General features: G+C 48.2%; 1 protein-coding gene across 2 annotated transcripts in view, besides 6 other annotated features; it reads right to left on the reverse strand.

Annotated features, from left to right (window-relative positions):
• PKD1L1 (polycystin 1 like 1, transient receptor potential channel interacting) overlaps nt 1–14,873 on the reverse strand; it is a 186,293-nt gene that overhangs the window by 158,124 nt on the left and 13,296 nt on the right. For both annotated transcript variants that reach the window (XM_017011798.3, NM_138295.5), the window contains 3 exons: nt 10,659–10,774; nt 7,456–7,580; nt 4,109–4,221 (listed from right to left, as the gene is read on the reverse strand). In XM_017011798.3, coding sequence (XP_016867287.1) covers nt 4,109–4,221; nt 7,456–7,580; nt 10,659–10,774 — 354 coding nt within the window. The remainder of the gene's footprint in view (nt 1–4,108; nt 4,222–7,455; nt 7,581–10,658; nt 10,775–14,873) is intronic.
• Nucleotides 4,909–4,988: an enhancer, noted in NCBI's record as "active region_25982". NCBI's record gives its function as "activates an Ori minimal core promoter by ATAC-STARR-seq in GM12878 lymphoblastoid cells {active_cell/tissue: GM12878}" and the evidence as "EXISTENCE:reporter gene assay evidence [ECO:0000049][PMID:35858748]".
• Nucleotides 5,439–5,608: an enhancer, noted in NCBI's record as "active region_25983". NCBI's record gives its function as "activates an Ori minimal core promoter by ATAC-STARR-seq in GM12878 lymphoblastoid cells {active_cell/tissue: GM12878}" and the evidence as "EXISTENCE:reporter gene assay evidence [ECO:0000049][PMID:35858748]".
• Nucleotides 8,452–9,075: an enhancer, noted in NCBI's record as "H3K4me1 hESC enhancer chr7:47980786-47981409 (GRCh37/hg19 assembly coordinates)". NCBI's record gives its function as "activates a minimal SCP1, AML or CMV promoter by ChIP-STARR-seq in primed H9 embryonic stem cells {active_cell/tissue: H9 hESC(primed)}" and the evidence as "EXISTENCE:reporter gene assay evidence [ECO:0000049][PMID:30033119]".
• Nucleotides 8,452–9,749: a biological region, named in NCBI's record as "MED14-independent group 3 enhancer GRCh37_chr7:47980802-47982001".
• Nucleotides 8,468–9,667: an enhancer, noted in NCBI's record as "MED14-independent group 3 enhancer chr7:47980802-47982001 (GRCh37/hg19 assembly coordinates)". NCBI's record gives its function as "activates an origin of replication core promoter dependent on BRD2, BRD4, P300/CBP and CDK7 cofactors, and independent of MED14, by STARR-seq in HCT116 cells {active_cell/tissue: HCT116}" and the evidence as "EXISTENCE:reporter gene assay evidence [ECO:0000049][PMID:35650434]".
• Nucleotides 9,455–9,749: a silencer, noted in NCBI's record as "tiled region #8949; K562 Repressive non-DNase unmatched - State 22:ReprW". NCBI's record gives its function as "represses a minimal TATA promoter and a strong SV40 promoter by Sharpr-MPRA in K562 cells {active_cell/tissue: K562}" and the evidence as "EXISTENCE:reporter gene assay evidence [ECO:0000049][PMID:27701403]".

Consider the following 14,873-nt stretch of genomic DNA (forward strand, 5'->3'; position numbering starts at 1 on the left):
CCTCCTCCCACATGGCTCCAATGAGGTGAGTGTCTCTGTCTCAGGCTGTGGCAAGGCCAGGCCAGCATTATAATCATGCATGAGAAAAATCCAAGACAAGTATTTCCAATGCCTGCAGCCAACTGGCTCTGGGCTTGCTCTGCTCTGCAGAAGAGGTGGTGGAGGCACGTTGGAGGACACAGGCCCAGGGTCAGAGGCTCTGGAGCTCAGTCCCCACCTATACAAGAGTCATCATTCTAGTGCCTCAGCTGAGGCTCACTGTCCGTGTCTGTTAGCATGGAGCTCAGAGAATAGACCTGCCCCGGTGCAGAGTAAACTATTAGATGATGAGAAAGAAAAAGAAACATTTTATCTGAGGAATGCGAGTCCCTTTAAATGATCAGGCCCAGAGATGCATTAAAATATGACAGCAGTCGTGTCTCACTCCACTTGAGCTAAACAATGACCTCTTGAAGCCACTTGCTATGTGGGTTCTAAACTGACTGACGCCAAGTAGCCAAAAAATGCCATTCACCTTATAGTTCAACAATGTATAGCCAATCACTGACCAATGTTATTTCTGTAAACCAACGAGAATTCCTGAGGAACAACTTCTGTAATTGCCCCCTTCCTGAGTCGTCATTTTTTCTTTAAAACTTGAGCCTCTCATTTGTTTTCCAAAGCACTTCCCAGTGTGCAGTGTGCACTTCCCCATTCTGCGGTGCTCAACCTTGGCCCAAATAAACTCCCTGTTTATTAACTTTGCCTCGGTTTCTTTCTTTAGGTCAACAATGTGGACTGCACTTAACCTCAAATCCAACGCAACGTCCTGGCCCTGGGATGTTCACAGTGACCACCATGCCACTGCCTGGGCCGCCCTGTTTGTCCCCAACCCTCTCTTCACCATGATCAGCCTTCGTGTATGGTGTACCCATGACATAACTAACTCCATCTTAGAAAAAGCCTCCATTTCTTTTCATAGAGCACTCTGCCAACAAGGAGAAGATATTTTGTTGAATAAATAAATAAATAAATAAAGGCTGCATCCAACCAGATAAGGACACGCGCACACTCTTCCACTATTGGTTCTCACCAGAGGGCCCTGTGACCATACAAGATTAGGCCTGAACAGCTCCAAATGGCCGTCTTAACTGCCACTTTATTGCAGTCACTCGTGATGAGAGCTTGACATCTGCCGCCAGAAGCTCTGCTACCTTCAAGATTTTCTTGTAAGACTGATGAATCCTTCGGTCCAGACTGGGACTCCTTTTGTCTTCTTGGCTTCCCCTGGACTGGTTCATTAACCCTTTCTCCTATCTCTTTTTCTTCTTGATGTTAAATGTTACTTTGTTTGCTGTGGAATGTTTACCTTACACCATTTATAGGTTAGGTATACTATTATGTATGGTTTGCAATACTGACTGACTTATGGAGTGGCATCAGCCTGTGTGCCCGCAGCTCTGGCTGCAAAGTAATGGGAAATACTACGGAAAATTGCCTCCTTAGGAGCTCCATGTAGCTCATGGCTTTTGTGATTGAATCACAATCAATAAAAGCCTGACACTGTGGAAAAACACAAACATGCGTGGACCTAGTTATCTCTAACCTTGCACTACTCATGACACTTCGGCTCTGGGGCTTGTGGTGCAGGGGTTCACATGCTGTCCACTCTGTCAGATGAAGCCCACTTCCAGGTACTTCCAACGGCATGTCAACCCGGATCTTCTGTCCTCCCAGAGGGACATCTGAAGTCACTTCAGCTGTTCCTAATGTGACATATTTTTAGTCCATTCATCATCCTAGTCACTTGCTTCCTATTTTTCCTTTTATATCCCTTTAGTTCTTAATGTAGTGATTTTCTTTAGGAAAACAACAACAACAAACCTGCATGTCTTAGCTGAGTCCTGGGGAAAAAGAAAAGGGCACCCGTGTCTGTCCAGATTAAAGTCCGTGCATGTTTGTGTCTTTCCACAATGTCAGGCTTTTATTGATTGTGATTCAATCACAAAAGTAAAGGGCCTCAGAACAGGGACTGGCTTGGGGGTGGGGGGATTGCGCTCAGGCCTCAGGAGACAGACACAAGAGTACCCCCACCAGGCTTAACTCTGCTCACAGCTAAGAAGGTCTTCTGTTGCTAGGAAGGAAGACCCTTTCCTTCTAACCAAGCACACAGGCCAGAGGTTTGCTCACCCAAGCACTTCGGATTTGTAACCAGTGAGGGCCCAAGACAGACTGTGGCAGCTAAGCAGGAGGTGGGAGGTGGAGTCAATGAGCTCCCGCAGAGGGAGACCCCACTCTGCTCTTGTTTCTCGTGTGTATTCACAGGCCCTGCCTGCATTGCCAGGCCTCAGCAGAGAGACAAGAATGACATTCCCGTGGCGGCACCCAGGGAGTGCTGATTCCACTTGAAGATTTCTTGCTAATTGAACAGTTACTTACACCTTAGCTAAGTCTTGAAATAATTTCTCAAAAATAAGCTGCGAAATTCTTCATTGGTTGACCCTAGCATTGGAGAAAATTGTTCTGCTCAAGCAGCAAAGAATGAGTTTTCTTAACTGGGGCTCCAGGGGATGTGCCAATCTACCCAGTAGAATCCAAAAGAAGTAAGAATTTCACACAGAGATGCTCTGCCCTGAAATGGATGCTACACAGGGCCTCAGCGATCAGATTTCCGGGGGACAGACAGACAAATCCGGCCATAAAAGGTAGGCATATTGTTAGCAAAATGGAGTCCGAAAAACAACAGACCTGGGCCCACGCATCCAAGTGTCTGGGTCACAAACCATCTGAAGGGTCCAATTCTCCCCAATACTGCTGTCAGCAAAGACTCGGAGACTGCAATGGGGGGGAACACAGTCAGGTGTGCAGCGTGGCCTGCCCTCACAGGTGGCTGTCACGGATTCTTCTTTTCCTAAATTTCCACCTAGGGGCTGAATCATGTGCGTCCATTGGCACAGGTTGGACTTGGCCCGTGGTCTCCCAGGGCATGGTGCCAGCCACATGCTCTGCCCTGCCCCCTGTCCTGTCAGGTTTGAGGATTTTACAAATAAATAAAAGGAGCAATATTATAGCAGCAAATCAAGAGTAAAGATCAGGTGGATTGGAGGTATATCAGAAAGAACTGTGATCAGTTTAGCTGTTCTTGGCAACATTGATGGGCCACTACCAGTCACTGCCTTTGAACAATAACATGAAAGGAAAAGTCGCATCGGTGAAAACAGTGGAACTGAATAATAACGAGGAAAACAAACATCTACATTTACCCATGTTTTTCCTTTAAGAAAGAAAAGTTACATTTGTTCTTTATATGCTTAAATGTTTAATTTCCATTAGAAGGAGTAAAACCATCAATTTCAGGTACAGGGTGACATTAGAGAAGGCCAACTATTTTTTAAAATTATGTCTACTTTAAATTTTGTATTGCCTGGTGCTATTGTGTTTTTTTAAATTGTGGTAAAACAATAACATAACATTTACCATCTGAACCATTTGAAGGCACAGTTCAGTGGTGTTAAGTGTATGCACATGTATATGGTTGTGCAGTACATTTTTAGGACTTACCCATCCTACAAAACTGAAGCTCTGTGCCCATTACACAACCCTCCGTTCCTCCTCCCCACAGCCCCTGGCAACCACCCCACTCTCCTTTCAGTGTCTATGAATGTGACTACTCTAGGGACCTCGCATAAGTAGAATTATAAAGGATGTGTCTTTTTGTGACTGGCTTATCTCACAAAGCATAATGTCTTCAAGGTTCATCGAATGCTGTTTTAAAGTCTGTATGTTATGCACCATGAAATAACCAATTACCATCATGTTGAGTGCTTGTACCCAGAAGGCTCACCATATTCCTTCCCAGATTTCAAAATAGAGATGATGATGATTCTTGTATGACATCACCTTCTACGGCTCCCAGCATTCGGGGGTTTGTCATACTACCTGTTCTACTCCTGCAAATTAACTTCAGAACACCATTCTTTTTTCCATCAATTTAAGAGCTGCATTTGCTAACCCACCCTCGGGCCATGTAGGAACAAGCATCGACTTTCACATCTGAGCAATTCTTTGTAAGTTCCATGTCATTTGCATGTTCAGAAAAGCAATATTTCGCCATGGTACATTGACATACCTATCAGCACTGTTATCACAATCCAGAGGCGCCTGTGTTTTTTCATTAACAACAGCCTGTGTTTTTTCATTAACAACACTTAACGCTGCTTCACTAGTTGTTTTCCAAATGTTCTGTAAGAAAAAATAATAAAATAATGTGAGAGAGCTGCTTATGAAAACCCAGTACATTTGGGAAAGTAATATTACTTCATTAACAAAATAGCAGTGGACCCCTGCTGTGCGCCCAGCACTGTGCTGGGCACCAGAGAAGCAACAGCGAGGAAAGCAGACAGCTTCATCCTCCCAGGGCTCCTGTTCTGCCAGAGGAAGCCAGAAAGCAAACATGTAGCCATAACAGCATCTGCTGGGGGTCGTGCTGCGGAAGAATAGAGCTGCAGGAGGGATTCGTGCGGGGTCGGGACGGGGTGGGGGTGGGGGGGGGGGGCGCGGTGCTTTTTTATACACAGGGTCAGAGAAGGCCGCTGTGTGTGACGACATCTAAGCAGAGCTGGAAGAGGAGGAATGCAGAGCTATGCCGAAGGTGGAGGCACACCTGCTTCACTGCAGGAGCAGCAGAAGTCTCGTGGGGCTGCAGCCACAAGTGGGAACCAAGAGAGCACAGGAGGTGACCTCAGAGTTACGGGAGGCCAAGTGGGGTCAGACTCAGGAAGTGGAGTTTCATTCTGAATGAGATGGAGGGTTCTGAGCACAAGAGTGGCACGCTCCAATGCACAGAAGCAACAGTGTGGTTGCGGTACTGAAGAGAGCCTGGCAGGCAGGAGTGGCAGCAGGGGATCCACTCAGAGGGCTATGAGGATGGCAGGTCTTGATTGTGGAGTGAAGGCAGAGGGTGAACACCTCTGAGGCTATGGGGTGGCCGGGCTGGCTGCTGGACTGGAAGTGAGATGGAGCCCAAGAGAGAACTCAGAGACAATGCCACTGGGCTTGCTCGGCCTGTGCACACTGAGAGCTTAGGTGGGGTGGGGGCATTGGAGGGCAGGTGAGGGGTGCTGGGAGCCCATCTTGGTCATGAGGCCTCTGTTGACCTTGCATTGACCTGTGCAGCTCTCCTTGTGACAAAATCTCAATCCTGGTGGCACCAGGAAAGCAGGGAGGTGCCCACGGCACAGGAGGAGGGGGGACACTTTTGGCCTACGGGAAGCTGGCCACCTTGTTTCCTACACAGGACGCCTGTCCAGAGACAACGCCCCACTGTGGACATGATTACAAAAAGCAGCCACCATCCCTCAGACTGAGGGCCCAGGGCCTCACTCTGGCTCTTGAGAGAGCTGTTACCAGAAGTAGTTCCAGCCAGTTAAGAAGTTAGTATAGGTTAACCAACGGCCCAGCCCCTCCCTGGGATGTGCGCTCCCTGTGCTGTGGGCCTTTTACAGATTTGTAACTACAGGACATCAGGTGCTTCATCTTTCAGGAGAACAACACAGGAAGGTGTCAAGAAGGCCAGAGTGGGAGCTGAAAGATGCCAGCTCGTGCCTGAGTGCATACGCCTGGCACCTGCCCCTCTTCTGTGACGAGAACAGGGAACCCCTCTGTGGCCTCCCAGAGCAGGACCTGGGTAGATCCTGGCAGTTTCCTGAGGATGTGAAACCCAGGGGCTGAGACAGCTGCATGTACCTACAACCCCTAAAAGGCATGGTGCTAGTGAGCAGCATGGGAGACACAGGGCTTTGCAAGACACTATCCTATAACTATGCCCAATCAGCAAACTGCCCAGCACGTCCAGGAGCTGGTGTATGGCCCTGTGTGACCTTCGCCTGAGCCCACTGGGGCTGTAGAGAGCAGAGCGGCCAGAATGCAGCTTGGAAATGGGTCTCCCAGTCAACCAAAACCAGAGAGCCCCCTGATTGCACATTTCACCAGGACCAAGCCCTTTGGGACATGATGGTCAAATCCTAAAGGCATCGATCTATGCCCAAAGCTGAGGTCCCAGGTGGCTGAACCTTGGAGTCACCTGGGTGGGGTGGGGTTGAAGCACCATCACCCTGAGCCACGCCACAGCATGTCTGTTAGAATCTTCAGAGGCAGGGCTTGTGCATGGTTTTGTTTGGTTTCTTTGACTTTTAAGCTCCCTAGGTGATTCTGCATAGCAGATCTGCACCAAGTGTTCAAGAAGCATGAGGTCTGTTTGCCCCCTTGTGTTTGGAGGTGAGGGCACTAAAAGCCTAAGGAAGTCACTGTATGTGGCTATTTACATTGTGTAATGTGAGAAACGCAGGTAATATCACCTCCCCTCTAAAACACCTCTCCCCAACCTCCTGTTCTCAGAACCATCAGACGCTCATCTTACTAAATATCCTTCCTTGGGAACCTAAAAATGCCTCCTTGAACTTTCGCTGACAAAAGTGATGGCAGAGCAGAGAAAAGCTCCCAAACACAAACACTGTGGGTTGAGATCAAATTCATTTCAATATAAACTCAGATGGATGTGCTACGGAGGGGGTGGTTTAATAACGCTGCTCTGCATGAGGAATACTGAAAAATGAACTGCAGGAGAGTCTTTGCCAAGGACAGCAGAGGTTCTGGGAGCTTCAAAGAGAACTGGCTTCTTTAAATTTGAACTAGAAACGCACAACTCTGGGCTGTCTGTGCATGTCCCTTTGGAACCAATGCTTATTCTGGGTGAAAAGCATGTCTCACTCAGAAGTTTTCACTCTTCTCTCGGACCCCACCCACAGATGTGAGAGTCACTCCTCTCACGCTTCTCCTCCATCTCCAGGGCATTGCCCAGGCCTTCAGACCCAAGCCCTGTTAGCTACTCTGATAAACAGATGCAAGGGAATTCACAAACATCCAGGTAGCCCAGTCTTAATTAATAGGGGTCTTCAACGAGCTCCCCACACTGCGCAAGTTAAGCAGGGTTTCAGTGCTTTGGCTGCTGGAAGCCTTGTCTGTGCTGGAGCCATCTCGGGGCAGCTCCCACTCCCCACCTGGGGGACAGCACCCACTCCCCACCCCGGGGATAGCCCCCACTCCCCGCTTGAGGGGCAGCCCCCACTCCCCACCTGAGGGCTACCCTCCTACTTCCCACCTGGGAGGCAGCCCCTACTCCCCACCTGCAGGGCAGCCCCCACTCCCCACCTGAGGGCTACCCCTCACTCCCCATCTGAGGGCTATCCCCTACTCCTCTGGGCTGGGCTAGCCCTGCCTGCACTTCTTATATGTGGAACTATGCTCTGGAGCTGAATTAAGGCTTTATAAGTCACACTTGCTTCATTGGCACAAACACACATGATAGGAAAACAATCCCTGATGAATTCCTGATGAAACATGGAGGTGCTTTTTAGCTGTACTGTACATGTACTGTATTCAGGAAGAAAAGCCTAATTTCCCCAGATCCAGGAATACCTTCTGCCTGGAAGCTGATGAGGATGGGCTCTGTGATTCCCGGTCTTCTGCCTTTCCATTCAGAGCACACCAAGGACAGCCACACTTCCCATCACTCATAAGAAGCACATGATTAGCATAGACCTCTAGAGAAAAAAAAAAAAGCAAACATTCTGAAGACTGCAATGTGCTGGGAAGGTGAGAACATAAAGCTGGAGAAGCCCTAAGTTATACATAAGGTCAAAGCCACCTGGGCCTAACAACGGGCTGATCATGAAGATGCGTGTCCTTGGGCTGCCGTGTCCTGCTGTGTGTGTTTTCTTTCTATTTCCTTGCTTAAACAATGTCTTAGGTGTAGCCCACACTAAGCAATATGAGGAAACGCACAACCACCAGCCACGCTGATAATGAATGCCTGTTCCAGAAACACCCAGTGGTCTGGTCATAAAATAATGAGGGTCAAAGGTCCTGCTCAGGGGTGTGTAGTAGAGGGGGCAACACCACAGTCGGAAGGAGTGGTTGGGGAGCTGTTGGACAAACAGGAAGACCATTAAAGACACTCCAAAGTTTATAAGCAGGATGTTCCCACCCAGGCAATCTGGCCCTGATGGTAGCACGGACCTGGCTGACGTTCACTCCTCCCATCTCTGAGGGCTGAAGGCCGGGCAGTGAGCGGAGCCAGTGTCCACCCGGCTGGGAGGCTGAGGGCCCTGCCACATCCCATGTCTGTGAGAGCATCTGGAATAGGATCTGCGCACAGCTGACAACTGTTGCCAGCGATGACAGGTCCTTGAGTGTTTGTGATGCCATTCTCTCTACTCATGCAGATGTTTGAAAATGTCCATAATAAAAGTTAAAAGAAAATATTTCTGCTAGACCTGGCCCTGCACAGAGCCACTCTCAGCAAGAAGCCAGGCGACTGCCTTGGGTGCAAGAGCTGCTTTCCCTGAAGCCCCCACCCCTCTCATCCCCAGGTAGGAGGGGAAGGAAGTGGGGGTGGCGGGTGAAGAGGGGACTGGAGCACCCTGCTGCTTTTCTGTCAGACCCGAGTCCCTGTAAGGAAACCTGTTTCTGCCTGGGCTCTCTTAACCCCAGTCTGTTATTCTGGCCAGCTTTGCTCAGGCTAAAAGGAACCCAAAGGCCTGCAGGCCGCCGAGAGCAGCAGGTTCTCCAGGAGCTCCAGGCCAGGGCTGGGCCATCCTCACAGGGGATGTGGCTTCCAATCCCTGCACCCCAGCAGTGGTGCTGGCAGTCAGCTTGCCCCTAGCCTCCCAGGACACTCTCAAGTTTAGCCTAGGACAATATCAAATCCAGTTTTAACATTGTGAGTCAAAGTCACTATTTACTGTCAAGAGTCCAGTGTATTAATATCTTGTGATAACAAAAGCTGAGGAAAAATCAAAGGCCGTGTTCCTGGCCTAATATGTGACGTGCTACAAATGCCATCGAGTGCCATTGAGCACCCATGCAGGCTGGATGCACCAACTGAGGTATGAAGTAATTTCCTGAACTGGACACATCCGAGAGGAAGAAATATTTAGAAAATGTTTCGGAATAAGCTAGAATAGTCAAGTGACTCATATTTCTCTGAAACCAATTAGTCATCAAAGTCACTGTGCTCAAATTATCTGGAAAAAAAAGTGGATATACCCCTGAACAGAAAGAAATAAATAAAAAATCATAAAAAGTACATAAAATTGCAAAATTGAATAAAGTATGTCACAAAAGGAGAAATAAACTAAGTGAGTGAAACTAATCCTGAAATTGGCTTAATTGTCCCACAGAAGTGATATTTATAGGTTTTTTGAATAAACATGGAAACTGACTCTCCTAGTCTTAAAACCTGAAACTTAACATCCATCTCATCTGAGTTCTTCCCTCAGGAAACCAACCCAGGAAAGGGACCCACCAGATCCCTGCATCCAGCCAGGCCCCTCATTCCTCAGATTGCTTCCTCACCCCTCTCTAATTTTGTTTTCTCGTCTTCCCTGCTATATAAACCCCCAAGTTTTAGTCAGATGGGGAGATATATTTGAGACTTTATCTCCCTTCTCCTCATCTGCAGCACCTGATAAAGCTTTCTTCCCTGGCAATCCTCGCAGTCTTCATGATGATTATGCTCTGTACGTAAGCAGCAGCAGCAGGATGTCAGGCAAACCCCTGGCATTTAGGTAACAATTCCACATGATCTTAACATAAGAATTGCAAAAGAATTGGCGTTGCATTGTTTCAACATTGATGCCAGGCACACACCCGCCTCCTGCCCCGCGCCCCCGCCCCCCCACTCCATTTAAATCCGTCTCTTTAGAAATTAAAAAAATTTTTTTAAATTTAATTTTAAAAATCCGTTTCTCAGGTCTACCAAATGTGTAGCCTAAGTTGAAAACTCAAAAATTCCTTCTACTTAAAGGAATCCTGGCAATTACGTTTCAGGCAACACTTTAGAATTTTCATTTTAAAAATTAAAAACAGAGATACTCTCTGTGTTAAGGACGAGGAGGAAAACCCCACACCTGTGGCCATGCAGACACCTCCTGTAACCTAAGTATTCCCTTCATTGGGCTCTGGGAGGCCCCACTTACAGTCTTGGTTGTTCTCGAAGTGTGGCCCCCAGATCTCAGCCTCACCCCAGACCTCCTAAAGCAGAAAGTCAGGGGTGGGGCCCAGTGAAGGAGTTAAAAATATACCATCCTGGCCAGGCGCCGTGGCTCATGCCTGTAATCCCAGCACTTTGGAAGGCCGAGGTGGGCAGATCACGAGGTCAGGAGATGGAGACCATCCTGGCTAACACGGTGAAACCCTGTCTCTACCAAAAATACAAAAAATTAGCTGGGCGTGGTGGCGGACGCCTGTAGTCCCAGCTACTCAGGAGGCTGAGGCAGGAGAATGGCGTGAACCCAGGAGGCAGAGCTTGCAGTGAGCCAAGATCATGCCACTGCACTCCAGCCTGGGTGACAGAGTGAGACTCCGTCTCAAAAAAAAAAAAAAAAAAATATATATATATATATATATATATATATATATATGTGTGTGTACCATCCTGGCATGTGGACTATTTAAGTTAGAGGCACTTGCAAAACAGCAGGTTTAAGATCACTCTGACCTTCCTTCTGTTTCTTAAAAGCAGAAAATGAAATTCCCATGTGGAAGATGTCCTGTTTATACCAGGGAAATAAAGCAACATTCTTATCATGGTGGCCATGCCTCCTTCCCCAAGGCCTTACCGACCCACAATCCACCTCCAGGAGGGCTACAGCTGCACAGATGAAGACCCCAGCTCTTGTCAGTGCTCACAGACAGCTCACCACCAAAGGAAAGGCAGCAGGCAGCCTGGAGACACCTAAGGGAAAGAAAATAACCAGAGGAAAATTAAATTAAGTACAATCGTTTAATCACAGACATCCTGTGACCACTCTTCCATCCATATCCATATTTCTGCCACAAAAGTATTAAGTACAAAATTGGCTGCCATATGAACAAAAAGACTCGCATCTATGGTTCTTTTCACTTCATATTTCCCAAACTCAGGGTCTGTTTTAGAAGATTAACTGAAATATAGTTCCCATCTGACTACTAAAACAGCCTCCGAACAGATCCATCTCTCTTCCTGCTGCCTCCAGGGCTTCCTGCCCAGATGCACAGAGCTGACCTTCCAGGGCAAGGTCTGGCAGCTTCCAGGGCTCCTCTTCCTCCTCCTCTCTTCCTGCCTCATCATCCCCATTCCTGCTGCTCACTCACAGCCCTAAGAGCACATTCTTCCAGCCCATGGGGATCTGGCATGCTGCAGAAAAGAACAGCATGGAACCCATGACCCTGGGGAGAGATGCCAGCGCAGACACAGAGTAGGCACTGCATGGCATCCTCCCTGTTTATTTCCACAACAGACTTGAGAGGTTCCGTGCAGTTACTTTTTCAGATGCTGGTATCATTTTGGTATTTGTCCCTGTGCAAATCTCATGTTGAATTGTAATCCCCAGTGCTAGAGGTGAGGCCTGGTGGGAGGTGTTTGGATCACGGGGGCAGATCTCTCATGGCTTGGTGCTGTCTTTGTGAGTTCTCCGAGATCTGGTCATTTAAAAGTGTGTGGTATCTCCTCCCCTCCTCTTGCTCCTGCTGTCGCCATGTGATGCACCTGCTCCCCCTTCACCTTCCACCATGATTGTAAGCTTCCTGAGGCCTCCCCAGTAGCAGACGCCAGCATTATGCTTCCTGTACTGGCTGCAGAACCGTGAGCCAATTAAACTTCCTTTCTCAGTCTCAGGTATTTCTTTATAGCAATGCAAGAATAGCCTAATGCAGATGGGATCATGAAGGCCCAGCAAAACAAATTAACTCAGCGAAGCTCACACCATCAGTGAGAGGCAGAGCCAACGTTTAAACCTGGTTCTCAGCACACCCAAAGCCGATGCCAATTCTATGGCACCTTCCTTCAAAGCTCTCTACAGGTGTGCCTCCAGAGCTCAAGCTGCAGCTGAAGTCAGCCCCAAAGCTCTGCCCCTTGGCACAGCTGGTGACTTTCCCTCTGGACTCCCTAGGCCTTGACAGCTGTCTGCTGCTCTCATGTTTGTCAGCAGAGATCATCGTGGGTCATCATCTGGTCCCTGGTCATTCCCTTTCAGCCTGTAGCTCCTTGGGTCCTGAGGTATCTGTGTCTGGCACCAATCGACTTGAGAAAGATCAAGTGCAGCGAGTGAAATAGTCCTGAACTAAGGTGCGGGTTTCCTGGGTTCTGGTCTTGATTCAGCCAGAAATGGATGGTGTGATTTGGGTTTCTCCTCCATGCCCATTCCCAGCGACAGGGCAATGGGAACCGTTGCCAAGTTCCCAGCTCCATATAGGCTGCTGTGCTAAGGAGAAGGGCAGGCTCTACATCCACTTCTTCTAGACACAGGCAGTCACCTTGCCTCTCTGTGTCAGTCTCCTTCTCTGTTTGAGAGGAACGACACAGACCTACTTCACGGGGCTGCTGCCAGGACTGTCATTCTAGAAAGGGCCGCCCTGTATTAGCTAAATGCTTGGTAACCAGCTGCTAAAGGTGTTCGCCTTTGTTCTTTCCCCTGAAAAATGCATTCAGCTCTTTAGAATTCTCTTTTTTACCTGTCTTGGATGTCTATAAAGTCTAGAGGATATCTACTTTATCTTAAGCAAGGTTTCTACAAAGATAAAACTGGATAGTTTCACCCAATTTTTACAAGCCTGGTTCTTGATGCCCAAGAAGCCGCCACCAGAGGGCAGACGAGGACAATATTTATAGTTGAGGAAAGTGTGCAGGGAGGTGAAAAGCTGTTATTTTGAAGATGAAGATGGTCACTAGGTCAAAGGCCTCAAACTGTTGAATAATTCCAAGGATTTCCTTGCCTACTCTCAACTATGCTTGTCTTCCAAAGGCCAGAGAAATGAAAAAATAAAAAATAACAATAATAGAAAAGGGGACAACTTTGGAATCATACAGACCAGACCAGATCAGACTTAGAGGATTTCTGCAATGATCTAGCGGGCAAATAAAATTAAGGAAAGGACGAACCTAACCTCTGTCCACCACGTGCGCCCCACAGTCCACAGCTGTGAGACTGCCCACCACTCTGGGCCCACACAAGGTTAGATAGCCCTGGCACCCACCAAGTTCCGAGACCCTCCCAGACACCCCCACAACAGGATAACTTCCAAGTGCTACACACAGAAAACACCAGCCCTGGTTCCTGGGACATAGTTGGCCCTTGAGAAGTAATTTTCTGTCTCAGAAGGTGAGAAACACATCCCCAACAGGTGTGTCCTCCACTCACAGAGGCGCCAAGGATAGTGCTGCAAAGCTAATTTTCCTTGAGATTTCAGAGGTCTTTTCAAATAAAAAAAATGGAAGGGGGAGATAATTTAAATACAAGGGAGGCTCTTTTTCCTGGTGTTGTGAGGAGGCAGGTCCCCAGGCCCTGGCACAGAATCAGCACCATTTTCACAGAGGTACCTGGCTTCCTCTTAGTTAACTGTGACTGTCGGGGAACAGGATGATACTGATGGCTCAAACACAGTCTCTGAGGCATCATGTGCCTCAAGGGAACTAGTCGAGCCATTTGTTTGAATTACATGACAGATCTCTTAGAATCCCTTAAGAGTGAGTGTTTTTCGGGGCCTGTCAGGGGCTGGGGGGCAAGGGGAGGGAGAGCATTAGGACAAATACCTACCACACAAACACACACCACACACTCACACCACACCACACTCACACCACACAAACACACCACACAGCATCACACACAATATACACACACCACACAGCACATACCCACCCACCACACACACATCGCACACACCACACACCACGCACCACACAAACACACCATACACACAAACACCACACACACACCAACACATTACACACACATCACACAGCACACACCATGTATCACACACACACCATACCCCACTCATACCATACCACACATACACCACACACTACACACAGACCACACACCACACCACCCACACACATGTCCTATACCACACACACACACACAGACACTACAGGCCTAACTCCATGAAATGAGGGCTACAGGAGAGTCAAGAAACCTCTTCTGTTTCTATGAACAAGATCAGTCACTGTCTTGCTTTAGGTGACTCAGGAAACCCCAAAAGGCTATGACTTCAGAAATGGGGCCTCGACACCAATTACAATGGCTAGTGCGTGCATGAACTAGTTGGTCTGCAAGTACAAGATGTATAAATATACAGGGGAAAAAACATCAAGTCAGCGACTTCCGCTCCTCAGCTTTTCTTTCCTTTCTAAGGGCAAAGGGGTAATTCCTTGCAATTCCCTGACTGATAAGAGTGAAGGTCAAATTGGGCCAACATCAAGGCTCTGGGAGTCTGCAGGAGCATGGGCATTTGGAATAAAAGAAACATGAGGTAACCAGAAAAAATAAGGGAAAAAATTGTAGCCAAAATCAGACAATGCTTGGCAGCAGTGAGTGACATAAGGCAAAGAAATTTCCAAGCATGAATGTGACCAACCCCGTCAACACGTGCAGCCTCATTTTCTCATCCTGGTTTGCTTTGGGTTTCTTTGATAAAATGATGGTGATGGCACAAAGACAGTAAGCTAACAAAGGCAGAAATGCTGACAGCAAGCATTCATCAAGGATACTGATTTTTATAACGACCCTCTGGAGTTTACAGATGTGACAACAGGGGTACTCAGATTTTCAGGATGAGAAATCTGGGGGTGAGGAGGTAAAGTGACCTGCAGTGGCGGGGTACCCCACTGGGCAAGATCTGCAGGCACAGGCTCCCATCATGCCAGGCCAGGGGACAGCGGTGACCCACCTGGGTCCTTACCACATCCCACAGGCAGGTCACCTTGCTGGCCTCACGCCCAGGAAAGGGGGCATGGAGGTTTGCACCATGTCACACTGCCATGAGACAGTCAACAGCAGAGCACACAGGCT

This window comes from Homo sapiens, chromosome 7 (assembly GCF_000001405.40).
Source record: "Homo sapiens chromosome 7, GRCh38.p14 Primary Assembly".
NCBI lineage: Eukaryota > Metazoa > Chordata > Mammalia > Primates > Hominidae > Homo > Homo sapiens.